Genomic DNA, 20251 nt, shown 5'->3' on the forward strand with positions numbered 1-20251 from the left:
GGGGTTTTGGAACGTATCTCCTGCAGGTAAAGGGAGACTACTGTTCTTAGAGACAAAAGATGATAAGAAATGGTTTTATGTTGTATTTGTGGCCTCTATTGAAGCCCAAGGAAATCATAAAAGATTTCAACTTGAATACCTCCAAAATGTCATGGTTAAATCTCCATAAGTACACATAAAAAAATGTCCAAAGCACATTTGAAATTAAGGTTTTATAAGGTATAGCTAACATTTTTAAGAACATGTTATGTGTAAAATTCTGTCACAGATTTATGCCTATCTCAGATGTTGTGCAAGGCGCCTCATGGCTTCCAGGTACACATTCCACCACATGGACACATTTCAGAACTGTTATCTATAGCTAATTGAAAAGACTAAAGAATTAAGCTCTTCTCATGGAAGAAAGGAAAGTAGGACTTAATGTCCTGACCTTGATTTGAGAACTATATTGTTGTAGAACATACTGAAAGGTACATGTTTAATAGCTTGGGAAAAATCTTAAAAAAAAAAAAAAAAACACAGTTTTTGAACCTGGCCATGTCACTGAGTCTAGTACATGACAAACCTAGGAAGTTGGTAGCAGAACACAGGGTCAAAATAAAATACAAGAAATCACTGTAGCCTGATAATCTGCAAGACACACCAAGCAGACAAGTGGTAAGACAGTGGGAAGTGTGCACACATTTAAAGCAACAATTCTGAAATGTGTCCATGTGGTGAAGTGTGCACCTACCTGGAAGCCATGAGCACCCTGCAGAACACCTGAAACATTGATAAGTGTAAATCTGTAATAGAAACTGAGAACATCAGAGCTAAATGACAACTTAGGAACACAAAGGAGGAGACAGCAGACACTGGGGGAGGGTAGCAAGAGAGAGAGGAGCAGAAAGATAACTGTTGGGTACTGGGCTTAATTGGGTCCTGGGTGATGTAATAATATGTATGACAAACCCTCGTGGCAGGTGTTTAACTGTGTAACGGACCTTCACATGTACCCCCAAACCTAAAATAAAAATTTAAAAAAGAAAAACAACCTAAGAACAATTTTATACCTATCATGTTATTTAAAAGTTAGATATACCATATAAAATTTTAATTCCAAATGTGCTTTGGACATTTGTGTGTGCAACAACAAAAACAAGCCTAATAAACTGAGTTTGGGGGATTTAAAAAATATTTCTTCATCCAAAGGGAATATTTACCTGCTATTTTGGTGGCAGGCACTAAAAATTAAAGTAGTTTCTGGGAGCAAAATTCAAAATTGAGAAATTTTCTTCATTTGATTTTTTTTCTGTCAGTGAAAATTAGTTTATTTTAGTGATAGACTGTATATTCCATGAAAGAGTGGTATAAGAGTGCTATAAAAAGCCTGGGATAAAGCAACAGTGAGCAAGAAAACAAACTGTTAATGAGTTTTAATGATAAAGAGTTTTTGCTGGCCTGAAAGTGTCTGCAAGGCAGTCATCGATTCCCTATAAGCGAGGTGGACCCTCCACTTGGAAGAAGGCATTTCACTGTACCTTACTTAGATGAGGATGCGGGGACAAAAGTTTACACCTCTCTTAATGAGTACAGCCTTATGGACACAAGACAGTCTGGATCATAACAGGCCACTAAGTAGGCTGTACAGTCAGATGCAGCAGGTTCTCAGGAGCCAGTCAGCCTTGCTGAGCACTGGTAGTGGTATCTACTGCAGTGGTACTCTGAAACAGCAGTACCAGAAGGTACTAGAGGGAGAAAGCAGAGGCAGAGAGTGTGCAAGGGCCACCATCAGAAATGATCCAGGCCTCTTGGACTGAATCCTAATAATTCATTCAGTCATTCAGTAAATGTTTGAATTCCTGCTATATCAGGCCCTGTTCTGATAGCTGGGAATATAGTCAACAGTAGACCTCATCCCTGCTTCCATGGAACACATATTGAGAGAGCTTATATTATAATTGGGCCCACAGATAAACCACTTCATTAAATACTAAGAGAAAGCTTCACTAAATTAGTCTATTATGCAAATAATTTTAAAGACAATTTAAGTTTTACTTCAAACATAATTCAGTCTGGGTTAATATTCGTATGCATTTGCATTCTCTGTCCACAGTAACTCCTGCCTTCAGGAGGCATTCTAGAAGGATTCAGCTCTTAAACTGTGTGCTGTGGTGGTTACCTACCTGTTCACAATGCTTTTGATGTTGTTCCAGTAAAAGAGTGATCTGTAGCGTTTTGTTTTCCTCAGTATTAAGCAGACATTAATTGTCTTCATTTCCATTGGCAGAGCTTTTATCTCAGTTATCAGGAGTGAGACGTTCTGCAGGAGGACAGCTTAATTCCTCTGGCCCTTCCGCTTCTCAGTTACAACAACTGCAGATGCAGCTGCAGCTAGAACGGCAGCATGCCCAGGCAGCACGGCAACAACTGGAGACCGCACGCAACGCAACCCGGCGTACTAACACAAGCAGTGTCACCACTACAATCACACAATCCACAGCAACAACCAACATAGCTAATACAGAAAGCAGTCAGCAGACTCTACAGAATTCCCAGTTTCTTTTAACAAGGTAGCTCATTTGTTAATAGAATTTTGTTTGGGAAGTAATATTTTATTGCCACTACAGTCTGGAATTATCTTTTCTCTTTTGTGCATTATATTTCTTTAAAATTTTGTGTTTGATTAAAACTCACAGATCTCTGATTAAAACGCATATTCAGTATTTCCCCAAGAATGTGAAACATAGTAATTATTTTAGATAAATTAAGAATACTGGGCCAGACCCAGTGGCTCACACCTGTAATCCCAGCACCTCACACCTGTAATCCCAGCACTTTGGGAGGCCAAGGCAAGCAGATCGCCAGAGCCCAGGAGTTCCAAACCACCCTGGGTAACATGATGAAATCTTATCTCTACAAAAATGAGCCAGGTGTGATGGTGCGCACCTGTAGTCCCCGCTACTCAGGAGGCTGAGGTGGGAGGATCGCTTGAGCCCTGGAGACAGAGGTTGCAGTAGCCAAGATTGCACCATGCACTCCAGCCTGGGTGACAAGAGTGAGACCCTGTCTCTAAAATAAAATAACTGGTCTTGTTCTCAAGGTATATATCATCATATAATATGAATTGTTTTGCCATAGTACCCATAAAACTTAAACACTATATCATTATATATATATGGTTCATATTAGGTGTATTTATCATAATTAACGTTGCTTGTTATTGCCAGTTTTAATCTGCTTTGAAATATTAAAAGTATAAGAAGGATTTCATAATACAGTGGCAGTTTTCTCCTGTGAATTTCTAAAAAAGCTAGATTTAAATTTTTATGGTTGGCACACAAAAGTAACTTAAAAAAATGGCTTCCTATGGTATAAATAATATTTAGTAAAACAGTAAACTACTCTACTAGATGGAGTTCTTGTTTGCTTCTGAAACTGTTAGCAACTGCATGTATTTGTCTGCCAAAACTTCACAGGCATTTTATGTGACTTTTAGGAATATAAAGAATTCTTAAAAGAGCAATGATGAGTGGAGACTTAGCCTCAACAGATAATGAACCTGGACTAATTGGGCTTTTAAGGGAGCAGAGAGGAACATAAAGGAAGAACTGTAAAATGAAGAATAAAGTTTGTGTAATACATGATTATTTCCAAAATGCAGTGTGTATGACAATTCATTGGGATGTTAGAGGAAAATATTATAATTTCTACTTATGTTTCTTTTATCTCATACTCTGTTAATACAGTGGTGCATGTGTATAGTTATAAATAACATATTGTGGGTGCAGAATAAAAAATGCTTGAAAATCCCTGGGCTAGAGCCCCAGCTTTGCCAATTACAAGTTTTGGACCTCAGGCAAGTCATTTCACTCCTCCAAACCTCAATTTTATCATCAGTATCCCAGAAGTTTTGCCTTTAGAGAGATAATTATTTTGAGGATTAAATGGAATACTGGTATGTGTATGGTCTGGCTCACTATCTGGCCTATAGTAAAGGTCCAATTAATGGTACTCGTTATCAACATTTGTTATGAAACCAAGAAAAACATTTTAAATGGGTAATTTACCTTTGAATTATCTCTGCAAGGTCAGTAACTGTGCCTGGTTATTACCAGATAATGCTGCTTTAATGTAAGAAAACCACAGAGCCACAGATGGAGCTACCTGCTGCCATGTAGCCTTCCCCATAGGGACTGACCAGCAGCAGGTCTATAACATACCAGATCTAAGTCCCTACCTCAAAAAGGAGATCTACTAGCGTGCATTTCTACTGAGAGTTCACAGAACTGTGGGTGGAATGTCTTGCCAGTGCCCTTTGGAAAAGACATCTTCCTACCCACCCTTGCCCTATCCTTTTTTTTTTTAAGACCCAAACTACTCAGCTTGATCTGTAATTTTTTTCTGTGCATTTATTCCACACCCAACTCTCAGAGCATGGTATGAGTGACCTCTGAGTGCTGTCTGTGGATTCTGGTTGTAGCTTCTTGAAATCCCCCTTCTATCATCTGATACTGTACATTCTATGGTACCATGCAGTTTGCAAACCACTTTCCACATCTTTTATTGTATTATATTCATATGATTTATTTAAGGCAATATTTCCCCAGAAATACTCTCTTAACTTCATATATTCAAAGGAATATATGTAATTACTTATGTTCTTCCACCCCCAATTAATAAGGTTGCAGAAAGCAAAGTAAGGAAAATTAAGAGATTATTTACTGTTGGGCTTCTTAGAACTTCAAATATATTAACATGCATTGTGAATTTTCAAGGCAAGGAGAACGGCTGCAGTGTATGCAGGGGAGATCCTGCTCTCTGGTCACACAGCTCTTATGTGATATATATAGGGCCCAAGCCTTATTTTTGGTCTTTTCTTTGACCAGGGGCAGTTCCTATTCATGTTGCCCTGCAACTGATGGTAAGGTCACAGTTTCTTTGAAGTCCAAGATAGTTGACCTTTTAGAAAGTGATTATTGGAGTGTGTAAGTCAGATCGGTCTTTTTTTGAGATAGAATTTCGCTCTTGTTGCCCAAGCTGGAGTGCAATGGCACGATCTCGGCTCACTGCAACCACCGCCTCCCAGGTTTAAGCGATTCTCCTACTTCAGCCTCCCGAGTAGCTGGGATTATAGGCACGCACCCCCACACCTGGCTAATTTTTTGTATTTTTAGTAGAAATGGGGTTTCACCACATTAGCCAGGCTGGTCTCAAACTCCTGACCTCAGGTGATCCGCCCGCCTTGGCCTCCCAAAGTGCTGGGATTACAGTCATGAGCCACCGTGCCTGGCCAGATCTAATCTTTTGACAGTGGGACCAGTTCATTTTGCTAACCCCAACTTGAAGATCCTCACAAGCCTTGCAGTTTCATTTATATCCTAAATGTTATATTTCATCAAGAAATTTGTCTAGTCTCTGTGCAGATGAGCCAGGTTTCCCAGCATAGCCCAGATCTCATAAGTACATGCATCAGGGGAGCAAGTCAGGCAGGTAGACCTTGTGTCTGCCCTGCTACACTGTAGGTCCTTGGTAGAAGAAATGTAGGAGTTTGTATGTATGTGTTTTCTTGCCCTTTCTAGCTTCTGCATATACCAAGAAGAATTAAATAGAGTAATAGAGAAAAGTCAGAGGAAATCTTAGGATATTTTTCAGTTGAATATTCTGTTCACTGCAGATTTTGTTTTTGTGTTTTATTTTCCTCTTTTTATTTACCCCCAGATGAAATTCTGGTTAGATACTTTCCCAAGCATCTAATCTGTAAGAAATCCTGTTTTCCTTAGAAAATTTTCACCTAGCTTTCTCTGGAGTGGAAAAAGTCTAAATGTCTTTTTTTTTCTCATTGAGTCTAATTAAAGCATAGATTTGCACCTCCAGGTAACAGTATTGCAACAAGTGTGGGGAATTCGTCTCAACACAATTAAGGATAAATTACAGCCAAGTATTCCAGCAATGTCTCATTCTGAATTTTGCCACCTGTAAAACTTCACAGTGGAGAGCACTGTAGAAATTGGCCATGCCATTGTTCATTGACTTTTTAACAATAAGGTCTTTTCTTTTTAACTTACACAGGTTGAATGATCCTAAAATGTCTGAAACGGAGCGCCAGTCCATGGAAAGCGAGCGTGCAGACCGCAGCCTGTTTGTCCAAGAGCTCCTTCTGTCCACTTTAGTGCGTGAAGAGAGCTCATCCTCAGATGAGGATGATCGGGGGGAGATGGCAGATTTTGGTGCTATGGGCTGTGTAGATATTATGCCTTTAGATGTTGCTTTAGAAAACCTAAATTTAAAAGAGAGTAATAAAGGAAATGAGCCTCCACCACCTCCTCTTTGATGACATCCCAATTCGCAGACAATGTCCTCTGTGCTGTATTTGCCAATGAAAGTGGACAACAACTATCTTGGGTTTGTTTGGTGATTGTAATTTCAGGTCTGTCACTCTTGTTACATTGTGTACATTCAAAAGGAAGAGAGAAAATATATATGATAATCATTTCCACTTAACTAATTTTTACTTCTAGCAGGTAAATGTAGGTAGCAGTGCAGGGGTGATCTCTGCTTCCTGTACCTTGACATGCAAAAGGCTCTCCTAATACTCCACATTCAAACTGAAGAGGAAAATTGAAATCTCTAATGAAGCTGCTGTGTGTATTTATGAATATTAATGAATAAAAACTGCTTGGATGGTTTACCTTAACTACTGCATGAGGTTTTTTGCAGCGTGCATGAGTTTTAGTGACCTTGTTATTTAAGAAGTTAAATACAAGGAGTAAAACTTAAAAAAAAAATACAAAGCCCAAAGCTTTCCCAAACATTATTCAATGGTTACACGACGAAGTAGCTTTTGAATAATGTCTGCCTGAATCACCTTTCTTTGTGTGCCTCCTACGCACAAAGCCAGCTCTGCAGTGGAATCTGGGGATTATAGCCGGGTGTGGCACTCCGCCCTGTGTGACTGTCCTGTCGCCCTGTTAGTCATCTTGCCTGTGTGGAGCTCAGCCTGTCTCTTTAACTCATCTGTAGAAGACACACCAGTAAAGCTACTGTTGGAATCTGCTGCAGGGGCCTTTGTGTGCCCTAAAAACAAATCCTGTTCATGTTTGTTTAAAGTTTTTACTTTTTGTGGTTGTTTAAAATTTTTTCAATTGTTAAATATGTTTTATTCAGGTGTAGATGAATTTCATTTATTGACTGTTCAACAGAGTTAACCTGAATTATGTTGTCTTTGTTTTTAAAAATCTCACATTCTCAATCATATTTTGCATTATTTATGTATTTGCTTTGTAGTTTGCTGAGACAGATCAGTATCAGGGGAGCTTTGAGGATTTGCCTTCCCAGATTTGTCAGTATATTACAACCAAATTCTTAATGCTAATTTTAGCACCTTTTATTTATTGGGTTTTTTCTGGCATAAAAAGTAAAGCCTTTTAATTGAATCATGCCACCTATATGCCTATATTATTAATCCTATGTGTAAAAAAAATGTACAGCTTTTTTTGGGTTTGTTTTGGGGTTTGGAAGGGCCGGGTTATTTTTTATTTCCTGTTTCAGTTTTTGTGCATAGACTTTCACAATAGCTCCAAGGCAGGGACAGCGGGTTTGGGGGTTGGGAGGGCAGTTTTTGGAATGTAAATTTAGGACTTTTAAAAAGGTGCGCACAGCTTCTGATAAATTTATAACTAGACTTAACCTAATCATGTCTCGTTCCAGTTCTCTTTTCTCTGAGCCCTTTTCAAAGTCTCCTCTCTTTCTCCTGTCATCCTTTTCCTTTCCTGTCCGTGTATCTCCGTTTCTTCAACATGACAAGCATACAGACTTGAACACCCCTCCGGTGTTCTTCCGAGAACTGTGAAGTCCATGTTCATCCAAATGTAACCAAAAAAGAAGTCACCCTACATGTCTGAAAAACTGTTGCTTCTCCTCTGAAACTTCAAACTCCAACGATTTCCAAATACAATAGCTTTGTTTTCTTTAGTTCTGTAATGGATAATGTTTAAAGGAAAACTTTACACCAGGCTTCTGGTTACACTAGAAGTCAAGCCCATTAGGGATTTTCATTTTTTTTCATTTGGTTGTTGAGAAGTTTCAAAAATCAGTTTTCAAGCTGTGGTCTTTCAAACACATCTGCACATAAGTCACACATTTCAATAAAGCATTTTCAAGACTGTTGACCACTTGAATTTCTTTGGTGTTAGTGGATTAACCTAACCATTACTCTGAGATTTTATATCTCTAATCCAGTATTTTTTTTCTTTTTATGCTAAACATGGGAGATCCTGGTTTTGTGTGAATGCATTATTTTGGATGTGAGAAATAAATGCCAATTATATGTACTTTCCCTTTTCTGCACAAATTCTGGGAAAATGTAAAAGCCTTCATTTTTTAACATGGTTTTAGGGAACAACTGTAAGTCCATTCAGAGCAGTTTAATTTAGATGATCACTTTTAACACTGCAGAAGACCTAAGGAGTCATAAGATTCCATCTCATGTAGAATACTGTATATTAATTATTTTTTACCAGATATTTTACAAATACCTCACCTCATCCTGTATGTAATCAATAATGTATTATTTTAGGGTAGAACGACACAGAATATCAATATAAAAATATATTCAAGCCCTTGAAATTCTTGTGTCCTTTTTCTTTAGTTTCTGAATGAAAATCTTATTACTGGATGTACTATTGAATAAAAATTAATTGCAAAGACTTTGATGGAGACAAAATCAAAATATACCACTGTTTATTTTGGCAGCACCTTCAAATTTCTAAGGACCAGATCCTGAATTTTGAGAATTTTTTGTTTCGTTGAGTTTTGAGTGTCTAGGATATAAGTTTATAAATGTTCTACAGTGCTTGTCTTTACTTCCTGTTTAGAAATCATTTAAATCTTTCCCCTCGAGGTGCTCTGGAAGAAGTTTAATTTCAGCTCTGAACAAGTAGAAATAACTGTGCTTCCTTGTATGGCTGCAATCATAAGACAGAATTTCTGTGGTTGGCTACCGTGAAATCTTTGTATTTATATTGCATTGTTTTGTTAAAAAAAAAAAAATCCACAGAAGTAGAACCTAGGTTTGCTACTAACAAAGTAGTGGATTCTTATAATTAGGCTCAGGTAAAGTAAGAGAAAACTTCTCTCCCTGTGGCCCCCAGAGAAATGAAGTAGGATAGCAGATTACACTATTAGAAATAATAGACGTAACAAAAAAAATCCAGCCCATTATCCCCACCCCCCATTTTCCCTCTCAATATTAGAAATTTCAATAATATGCTGACAGATTTTCAAAGGTCACCAAGGCTTTTGTGTTTTTTTCCGGTCTGTGGGCCACAGTTAAAAGAACGGGTAACAGGTTCAGAGTTCTCTTGATACGTCCAAGCCTTAGTTTCCAGGAAAAAAGCTAGGCTCCTCACTGCAAATATTAACGCTTTATATATTTACTCCATGGATGTTGGGGTAAGCACATATATCAATAGTTCATAGCTCTAGTTAAGGACAAAGTGGGTTGGGGGGTAGAAGGAGAATACTAGAGAGGTTACGGTAGCAGGTGGCTGCAGAAAAGAATCTTTTGAATGGGATTCCTGTAACAGTGTTCAGTACCAATATTAAGTCTACTGTAAGTGGGGTCTGATATGGCTTACTGATACAGGCATGTGTAAAAAACTAAGTGTGATGGAGGAATGGGTGCTAAAAGCTCTTAACAGTTTTGTAGAGAAGCCCTGCAGCCGTGTTTACTATATATGACATGCCTGTTTCTTAGTTTGCATGCACAGTTTAAGGGGCACATGCAATATTGGTTTCATGTGCAGTAAAAATTAAAACACGGCTGAGCGTGGTGGCTCACGCCTGTAATCCCAGCACTTTGCGAGGCCGAGGCGGGTGGATCACGAGGTCGAGTTTGAGACCATTTTGGCCAGCATAGTGAAACCCCATCTCTACTAAAAAATACAAAAAGTTAGCTGGGCATGGTGGCAGGCACCTGTAATCCCAGCTACTCGGGAGGCTGAGGCAGGAGAATCGCTTGAACCTGGGAGGCAGAGGTTGCAGTGAGCTGAGATCACGCCGCCATTGCACTCCAGCCCGGGCGACGGTGCAAGACTCTGTCTCAAAAAAAAAAAAAATTAAAACACTAGGTACGAAATTATCCCAGAATTATACGCGAAAGTTGGTGTTCATGCTGGAAAACAGTTACGGTTATCTGTGCTCTTTCTAAAGCTCAACTAGACACTAAAACAGTTCTCTCCTTGAGACCGGAAGTGGGATGGGGGTGGGCAGGTGGAAGGGAAGAGGCTGGGGAGGAGCCTCTCATCTCATCTCATTTCAGCCTCAACAGTAATTGAAACCCTATGCCTGGCCTGGAGTGGGTAGAGGTTAGGGTTAGAGTGCAGGATGGAGCAGCAGTCTGCAGACTTTCAGGTTGTGACGATGTCATGAAATTCTGTGCTATTAAACATGGCTATGTCTGAGTCAGTCATTACGGTATTCCAAAGCCAAATTCAAGTGACTGTTTTTCTGAATAGTATAAAAATCTAATTCCCTGTGCTTATCGGCTTCAACTGTGCTTACACAACGTTTGTTTCTAATTCGTACTCTTGCCTCTTGGTTTCTGTAGTTTTTCAACCCATTTCTGTCAGTGTTCTATAAATGCATACATTCGTTATTTAAGGAACCCTGCAGCAGACCTCGAATAAAATGTGACTTGATGTTTGTTGCCACTTCCTCAACTTGGTTAGCAAATTCAAGTTTTGAAAGACGATTCGTCTCAGAGAAGTTGATCCTGAACCTCCACGTCACATTTTAGTCGGTTGCTATTAGGTGGGTAATGCCTAATAACATGGGTTCCTCAAATCACAAAGGAGAATGCTCTCAAGTCCTCATGTTAACTTTAGTAAGTCAGTTAACTTTACAGCAACTAAAGAGATCAATTAAAAAGAACCCTTAAGTCTGACTGTCCCAGGTAACTTTACTTGCTGTACAGATAGTGCACAGATATGGATGAGGGCTGCACATGGCTGATTTGAAAACCCATGTGGGGCCGGGTGTGGTGGCTCACGCCTGTAATCCCAGCACTTTGGGAGGCCAAGGCGGGTGGATCACGAGGTTAGTTCAGGACCAGCCTGGCCAAGATGGTGAAACCCCATCTCTACTAAAAATACGAAAATTAGCTGGGCTTGGTGGCAGATGCCTGTAATTCCTGCTACTCGGGAGGCTGAGGCAGAGAATTGCTTGAACCCGGGAGGCGGAGGTTGCAGTGAGCCGAGATTGCGCCACTGCACTCCAGCCTGGGCGACACAGTGAGACTCTCCTCAAAACAAAAAAAAAAGAAAGAAAACCCATGTGGGCCGCATGTGCACAGCCTGGGGCTGCTTTCCACAGGCCTGGATAATGATGTTTCTCTTCAAGGAGGCCTTTACTAACCACAGGGAACCTAGCATCTGACTGTGTCCTTGGCAGACAGTGCATGTAGCCTGTAGAATGTTGGCTCCTCTGTCTATAGAAACCATCAGTTCGCTGCTCTCTCATTCATACATACTTTTTGAGTTCCCAGTAGGTACGAAGCTTTGTCTAAACATTATTTACCAACTGCGATTTTTACAGACTTCCCCTGTAAGAATTTTCTAAAAGAGCCTTTCTCCCTTACACAATTGAAACGTTTTCAAAGGTCATCAAGCCGGTTGCGTTTGGTCAGTCACGTGACCAATCAGAGCTGGTGAGTGAGCTGCTCCCTTAAATCTACCAAATTAGACTGACAGCATTTGGAATCTGCCTCACACATAAGAGATCCATATTCATTTAATAGTGAAGCCAGCCCAGAAGCATCCTCTTCTGTAAGCTGGATGGAGTCCCAGCTCTCTCTCCTTGTATATAAGGAGACCACACCCTGTATATAAGGTTTTCTTGAGGTAGATGCAGCAATATTCCTGGGGTAAGATTCTATAATACTCCTGTATTGGCAAGTGGACTGGACCAACAGACACAGGCCTCAGCCACTGTCGCTAGGGACTGAAGGAGAGTTCATGGATTCTTACCCCCTAGTCATGAAAGCTATTCTGGCCAGCCTTGAATCCATTTAATTTTGCCCACGAGAACCTTTCATGACAATTAACAAGACACTAGTTTCCCCATAAAAGTCCATTTTTAAATATATAGTATGCTAATTAGCAGTGTCTGTTGAATTGCCCTATCGGATAGCAGCCACCATGTGTGCTGACCACTCACGATTCAGACTTACCTTGGAAAATATCACACTGACGATACAGTACTTTAGAATAAATTGCATATTGTATCAGGCTCCGAGACTAATTTGTACTGAACCCTTGATATAGATTACCTTTTATAACATCACCACCTGTCATGAAGCTTATCTGTTTTCTGATTTGAATAAACTTTGTGTTGTGCACCTCAGTTTCCATTGCATTCACTGAGATAGCTGAGTGTGACTTCAGTGTTGTGTCATCTTAAGATGTCAGTAATGTTCAACACAGACTTGGTCATCTGTGGCACTGGTGTTTCGGCATTTCTATAGTTTTTGTTTTGTTTTGTTTTTTGAGATGGAGTTTTGCTCTTGTTGCCCAGGCTGGAGTGCAGTGGCACTATCTCGGCTCACTGCAATCTCCGCCTTCTGGGTTCAAATGATTCTCCTGCCTCAGCCTCCCAAGTAGCTGGGATTACAGATGTGTGCCACCACGCCCAGCTACTTTTTTGTATTTTTAGTATTTTGTATTTTGTATTTGTATTTTTAGTAGAGACGGGGTTTCACCATGTTGGTCAGGCTGGTCTCAAACTCCTAACCTCAGGTGATCCACCTGCCTCGGCCTCCCAAAATGCTGGGATTACAAGCGTGAGCCACCACACCTGGCCTCATTTCTATAGTTTTAAATCCCCTGTGAAATACCATTACTCCTATTGTCCCTGTCTGCGTCCTCTCCTGTTTCTGTGTGTGTGTGTGTGTGTGTGTGTGTGTGTGTGTGTGTGTGTGTTTTATTAATGCTTCCAGTGACATCTGCAGTTTCAGTTCCATTTGCCTACGGAATTTTCAGGACCACCCTGGTTACCACTGTTGCTGGTGTCTGAGCCTGAGGGGTGAACATGTGGCCTCTCTCCTCAGTCCAGAAAAGGACTTTGGAATACTGATTCTACTTACAGCTTCACAGGGCAAGACTAGAAAGAAGGACTTGAGAAGGAGCCCCCTGAACTTCAGCATGAACATAAGCCCCACCCACTCAGGACCGGAAGGGACAAGACTTGTTCCTTATCCATTTTTTTTTTCCCTCTTCAGAGTTCCTGTTGGCTTTTGGTGGTTGTTTTTCCCCATTTTGAACACTCAACTGCCTCTAGCCAATGGCAGGGTTTTTTTTGTTTTGTGTGTTTGTTTGGTGTTTGTTTGTTTTGTTTTTGAGACGGAGTCTCACTCTGTCGCCCATGCTGGAGTGCAGTGGCGCAATCTCGGCTCACTGCAACCTCCACCTCCCGGATTCAAGCGATTCTTCTGCCTCAGCTTCCTGAGTAGCTGGGACTACAGGCCCGCGCCACCACATCCAGCAAATTTTTTGTTTTTTAGGAGAGACGGGGTTTCACTATGTTGGCCAGGCTGGTCTCATACTCCTCACCTCAGGTGATCCGCCCACCTCAGCCTCCCTAAGTGCTGGGATTACAGGAATGAACGACCGTGCCCGGCCAAGCCAATGGCAGGTTTAAAAGCAAGTAGTGAAAATTACCTTTTAGTATCTACCTGAACAAATGCCTTTCACTCCAGCCTAGGGCTCTAGGGTTGTCCCCCAAGTCACTGTGTTCTGAGGAGGATGGTGGATTGTATTTTTTTTTTTTTTTTAAGACAGGGTCTCACTCTGTCTCCCAGGCTGGAGTGCAGTGGTGCAATCTCGGCTCACTGCAGCCTAGATCTCCTGAACTCAAGCTATCCTCCCACCTCTGCCTCCCGAGTAGCTGGGAGCTACAGGCACATGCCACCATACCCAGCTAATTTTTGTGTTTTTTGTAGAGATGGGGTTTCACCATGTTGCCCAGCCTGGTCTCAAATTCCTGGGCTCAAGCGATTTGCCCACCTTGGCCTCCCAAAGTGCTGGGATTACAGGCATGAGCCACCATGCCTGGCCGGATCTTTTTAAGAACACTTTTGGCATATTTCGATAAAACTTTTAATCCTTTCATAGTATTTTCCAAGTGTTCACCATTCTATGGTTATAAAGCCCCGAACAAGTCCACCTAAGAAAACCAAAACCCACCATGTCCACTCGCAGGCGCTTGTCCAGTGGTCCTGGGCAACACATTCTTTTCACACAGCTGTCTTTCAAACTGCCTTCAGCTCTGGTAGAGTCTGGCCACCAAGGATTGGGGTGGGTTGGTTGATTACTCCACGAATCCTAAAATGTAAAGGTTGCAACAAATAGCACTTTTCACATCTTATACTGTTGTAAGGCACACATTTTAGACATTGTTACATTTCAAGTAGACAGCATTTGATGAAGTGTTTGTAAGATAGCTTTTAGATGCTTATAAATTCTGTAGCCAGCCATAACAGATGTTGGCTGGGAGAAAGAATGGAATTAAGTTTGTAAAAAGAAGTGGTTGGAAAAATTACAATGAATCATGAGAATGGATGTGAATCTTCTGTATTAGAAATTAGGGTTCTCTCTCTTGGGATTCTCTCTCTTACCTCAAAAGTACCCAGATCATGCTTGGACTAGGAGGCAAGTCATGGGTAATAATTGGTAGGTCAATTCTGGGGAGGTAAAATTTGCGGAATTTCCTGGATTACTGACATTGCCTGCGCTGTGAAAGAAAAAGGGAAAATGGTGGTCTTGCTTGATCAGATGTTAGAACTTGGAATTCACGGTGGGGATAAGGAGATGCACATTTTTGTGTCAAGGGCAGTGGATGGGACTCAAAATCAAGCTGGGTTGGAGGTGAAGTTAGGGAAAACCTGGAGAATGGAACTCTGGAATTAAAGCTTAGAATTGGAAAGGTCTAATTGCTCTCTGGGTGCAGGAGTTCCCATGGAAACCTTCCTGACAAGTAAATATCCACCCAGAACAGGGAGAAGATAAAGTGCTGTGGTTACAAGCACAGATGTGAGTTTCAATCTTAGCCCTACCGCTTACTAGCTGTGTGATCTTGGCCAAGTTAATTAACTTTAATTAAACAGTATGCCTATTGTCTCATTCTTAAATGTAGCTAATCATAGTATTAAATAATGTGCTAATACAGTGCCTGGTGTGAAGTAACCATAAAAAAATGGCAGGTGCCTCAGAAGGCAACCAACATAACAGGGACCCAAAGGTGACCAATAGTGGAATTTGGGCCAGGAGCAGTGGCTCATAGCTGTAATCCCAGCACTTTGGGAGGCCAAGGCGGGCAGATCACTTGAAGACAGGAGTTCAAGACCAACCTGGCCAACATGGTGAAACCCTATCTCTACTAAAAGTACAAAAAATTAGCCAGGGGCATTGGTGGGTGACTGTAACCCCCACTACTCAGGAGGCTGAGGCATGAGAATCACTTGAGGAAGGCAGAGGTTGCAGTGAGCCAAGATCGCGCCACTGCACTCCGGCCTGGGCAACACAGTGAGACTCTGTCAAAAAATAAATAAATAAATAAGGAAAGAAAGAGTGGGATTTGCTTGGGAGCAAAGACAGAGCCAGATAACTTCTACGCAAACACAGCACATTGATTTAATTAGCCCCATCCTGCTTCAAATACTTCTAAGTCATTCTGGCAAAACTCCATGAGGGTCAGTGACCTGGTAAAAATCGTGGAAGCTCAAGTTTCTTTATCTGAGGAGTTCAAGAGCTGGGGAAGGACGGGAATCACCCTAGGTCAGGAGACCATAGGTATCAAAGAATAAACATCAACTGAGGCTTTACTATGGATCCCACCACCTCTTCATTTACTCAGTCAGTTTCTTGGGCATCTACTAAGTGCCTGGCACTGTTCTAGGCACTTGGGGTTCTCCAGTGAATAAAGCAAAGAGGTCCCCAGCTCACTAAATAGCACAGCTTCCCAGTTGCTCAGTCCAAAACCTGTTGGAATCATTTTCTACTCTTTTTCTTGAACCTCACATCCATTTCGTCAGCAGATCCCGCTGTCTCTATTTCCACACTTTTCCAGAAACTGCCCCCTTCCCACCATCTTCACTGCTGCCGCTGGCCCAGGCCTCCATCATATCCCCACAGGGTCATCGCTATAGCTTCCAAGTGGCATGCCTGCCCCCGCACTTCCATGTCCCAGCACAGCACCTGGGTAATCTTGTCAGAACCTACACCTCCAATCCCTCTGCCGCTCCTCCCTCTCAGAGGAAAGGCGGAGTCCTCACCACAGCCCCTGGCTCCCACAGGCTGTGGCTCTTATTCCTTTTTGGGGTTCATCCCCTGCTACTCTATTCCCTCCCCCAAGCCTCACTGACCACCTTGCTGTCCCTCGGGCATGCCACAGCTCTGGGACTTTTGCCTTTGCAGTCCCCTTTTCTTGGAAGATCCATATTTCCTTGCCTCCTTCTCTTTGTCGGTGAGGCCTTCTCTGACTACCCAAATGAAAACAGGGATCCCAGGCCCACCCGGTACACCCCAGCCCCACCTCCAGGGTTCCAGCTATTCTCCTGCCTCAGCCTCCCAAGTAGCTGGAATTACAGGCACCCACCACCACACCCAACTAATTTTTGTATTTTTAGTAGAGACAGGGTTTCACCATGTTGGCCAGGCTGGTCTCGAACTCCTGACCTCAGGTGATCCACCCACCTCAGCTTCTCAAAGTGCTGGGATTACAGGCGTAAGACACTGCACCTGGACTGTTTCTCCATAACTCTTATCACCATCTGACATCCTCCCTACCCCATATACACATTATGTGCACACACACACACACACACACACCCCTACATACACACACACATAGATGCCAGCTTCCTGAGGGCAGGGCTGTCCATTAGTCACCCTTGTATCTCCATGTCTATAAGGCATGGCACACGGTAAGTGCTCCATAAATATTTATGGGATAAAAGAATGAATGGTGTGGGCCAGACTCTGTTAAGAGTGTTTTTTATTATTTCAAAAGTGCATACCAATATAAAATACTCAGTCCCTGTGGAAAACAATTTGGCAGTTCCTCAAAACATTAAACATAGAATTACCATGTGACCCAGCAATTCCACTCCCAGGTATATCCAAGAGAATTGAAAACATATGTTCACACAAAACCTCCTACATTCATGCTCAGAACAGCATCATTCATAATAACTGAAAAGAGGAAACAACCCAAATGTCCATTCACTGATGAAAGGTTAAACAAACATGATCTACACAATGGACTATTATGCGGCCATAAAAAAGAATGATGTACTGACGCATGCTGCAACTTGGATGAACTTTGCAAACATGGTAAGTGAAAAAAGTCAGTCGCAAAACGCCACAGAGTATATGATTCCATTTAAATGAAATTCCCAGAACAGGCAAATCCATGGACACAGAAAGTGGATTAGTGGTTGCCAGGGGTTGGGCAAGGAGAGAGTGGGGAGTGGCAGCTCGTGTGCACTGGGTTTCTTTCTGGAGTGTTGAAGAGGTTCTCGAATTAGATAATGGCGACGGTTGCATAACTCTGTGAAGATATGAAAAGCCACTAATTTGTACACTTCGAAATGGTTAAAATGGTGAATTTTATGTAAAGTTTATCTCAAAAAAAAAAAAAAAGTCAAACATACCTGCGGTAGGTATTCTTAACATCCCCATTTTACTGATGATAAAAGTGCGTGTCAGGGACCAGCTCTGCCAGGTGCCCAGCAACCCTGCACATCTCCACCGGGCTCGACGGCAACCTGACCTGCGTCTTGGTGGAACACCCTGCAACTCCTCATGGAGCAAGGGGCGTTAAGTGGCCCTGTGCATCGCTGCCGTGAGTGGTCTCACCTGCCTCCCCACCCTTTTGGAACTGCTGCAAGGCCATTTCTCATCGATCTTCCTAGTTTCTGTTGAGCGCAGCGCTTTCCTCCTCTCTCCCCACTCCCACAAGTTACGTCTGCAGGTGCCTGCTAAGTCTGTAGAGTGCTCGGTTGCAGTTGAGAGCTGGCTGCTGCACAGCAGGGCAACCCACTGTCCATGCCATCTGGTGTCCCAACCTTCCAGCCTTGTGTCCTCCTGTGGGACGAGGGACACAAGGAGCGACATGTCATGCTGATTTAGCTTTTGCTGTCTGCGTATGTAACAACCTGTCCAAATCCATGTGGCTCAATGTCTCCCTACAGACAAATCTATGGAAGTGTGGCTGGCCAGCCCCACAGCTGCAGGGGTAATCTCTACGGCCCCGTTAGCCCCTGCTGCTTTGGGAATGCTTGATGCTGAGATGAAATAAATGTTCCTGGGGCCCACCACTGCTGGAGGCAGGATCCCATCCCAGCTGGTCTGACTCAATTCAGACACAGTAAAAGCCATCTGGCAGGTTATCTGATATGACAGTAAATTAAAATGAAGACAGTTCTAGAAAAGACGAGATTTGTTCTAAAGTTTTTCTTTCTGATCTCTTCAAAATTTCTGCCTTATCTTTACTACAACAATTCAGAGAAGTCAAGGAACTCCAAAGCCTCTCTTAGGGGCATTTAGACAGTCATCTTTGGGGAAATATGGGGCTAGGACACGTAAAGTCACTCGATGACTTTTAGAAATATTAGCCTGTGACCACATATACATTTCTTCAGGATTAGAAATTAAACTGGCAGTCTTTACACTATAGTTAAACATTGTCTCCAAAATTGCCCCTGCAGTTTCCAAAAGTTGAAAGCCCTCACCCATTAGGGACATTTGAGTCATGGCACCTTACCTAGGCCTTCTTCAACCACAACCCTGATCTTCCAGCTGCCTCTTCTGTCCTCAAGACAGAAGCTCGCCTAATCCTTGGAACAAGAGGCAGCAGATCCTGAGAAGTTTCTGCTTGTGTTTGTCGGCAAGGAGATGGCTTCAGCAGTGGTAGGGGCGTAGGCAGGGGCAGGGCTGCCCCCTTAGTCTGTGAGGCTGGTGATCGGCCACAGTGAATTGGCTCCATATCCACGAAGAGGCAAGGAGGCTCTGCTCTAGTGACCCAGGTCCAAACCTGGGAAGCTCCAGATCTGGGACAAGCTCCAGATCAGGCCCAGGCTAGCCGTGTGACGTTGGAGCAGCTGCTTAACTCTGAGCCTGCCCCTCCTGCTGCACAAGTCCCTGCTGGCTGTGTGGATGAGCAGAAATAATGTCCATGAAGGCATCACAAGGTCTCAAATGGAAGGCTCCAACAACTGGTTCAGTGAAAAAAAGGTTTGGAGAAAATACACATTTCCATGACCCCAACTGTGGAGAAATCTTTCTGTCCTTCTAGCTTTAAGAGTAGCAGAGCACTGTCTGGTGAGGAACTTTTCCTCCCGAACAGTCTCAAAATCGAAGCTCTGAGCACACTGAGCCAGGCCTTCCCTCATCTCTTCCTCTTCTGCACATTTGCTCAACTGTGATCTGAGTCAAGCCAGCAAGATCCAAGCTAGTCTAGCAAAGCATTTTCCAAGCAGCCTTGGAAAGGGGTTGGCCTCGTGAGGACACTGATTCCTAATATTTGCAGTTGGCTTTGCAGAGCTCTCATTACAGCGAAGGTGTGAGGGTGTCTGTTGCCACCCGCTTTTGAGAGAGAGGCACTGAGCACTACAACAGCACAGCTAATGTTTATTGGACCCTTCGTTCGATCCAGGAATTTAGATGGACTATTTTATTTAATTATTTCCATTAACCTGCTACCATTATCCCATTTTGGAAAGAACACAACGGAGGCCCAGGAGGGGTAAGGATTCTGTCCTGCAGTCCGAGGCCAGCAGGGCTGTGTTTCCCAGCACCGTGAGGGTCTTTACAGTTTGGGACCAAACAAGGGTGAAGTTCAGGACGGGGCCACGTGAGGGCGGTGGACTAACATGAAACAGAAAAGCAATCCGTTGCCCAAACGCCGGACAACTCCCAAAGGTCCTTGTTAACATCTATTTGATTTCTATTTATTTTCCAGGCAGCTGTGGGAATTGGGTAAAAGTGTGGTGTCTGGGGCCAGACTGCCTGGGGTCGATGCTGCCTCCATTATTTACCGACTGTGTAATCCCAGGAAAATTAGTTACCCTTCCTGTTTACCCTCCCTGAGCTTGCTTCTGCCTCTGTAAAGTGGCCCAGTTAGCAACCGGCAGGCCAGGACTCCAGAGCTACGGAGGACAAGTGGTGGCGCGATTATCGTAGCGAGCAGCACGGTGGGAGTGGCGCTAACGGTCAGT

General features: G+C 42.7%; 1 protein-coding gene and 1 long non-coding RNA gene across 4 annotated transcripts in view; one reads left to right on the forward strand and one right to left on the reverse strand.

The window, feature by feature from the left end:
• KCMF1 (potassium channel modulatory factor 1) overlaps positions 1-12376 on the forward strand; it is an 88312-nt gene extending 75936 nt beyond the window's left edge. For all 3 annotated transcript variants that reach the window (XM_047445126.1, NM_020122.5, XM_006712052.4), the window contains 2 exons: positions 2270-2552; positions 6052-12376. In XM_047445126.1, coding sequence (XP_047301082.1) covers positions 2270-2552; positions 6052-6313 — 545 coding nt within the window. In that variant the 3' untranslated portion in view covers positions 6314-12376. The remainder of the gene's footprint in view (positions 1-2269; positions 2553-6051) is intronic.
• Positions 12377-17013: 4637 nt separating this feature from the next.
• Positions 17014-20251, reverse strand: LINC01964 (long intergenic non-protein coding RNA 1964). The gene is made up of 2 exons (NR_146453.1): positions 17687-20251; positions 17014-17583 (listed from the first exon to the last, which is right to left on the reverse strand). It is a non-coding gene; the product is annotated as a long intergenic non-protein coding RNA 1964 (long non-coding RNA).

This window comes from Homo sapiens, chromosome 2, assembly GCF_000001405.40.
Source record: "Homo sapiens chromosome 2, GRCh38.p14 Primary Assembly".
NCBI classification, from domain to species: domain Eukaryota; kingdom Metazoa; phylum Chordata; class Mammalia; order Primates; family Hominidae; genus Homo; species Homo sapiens.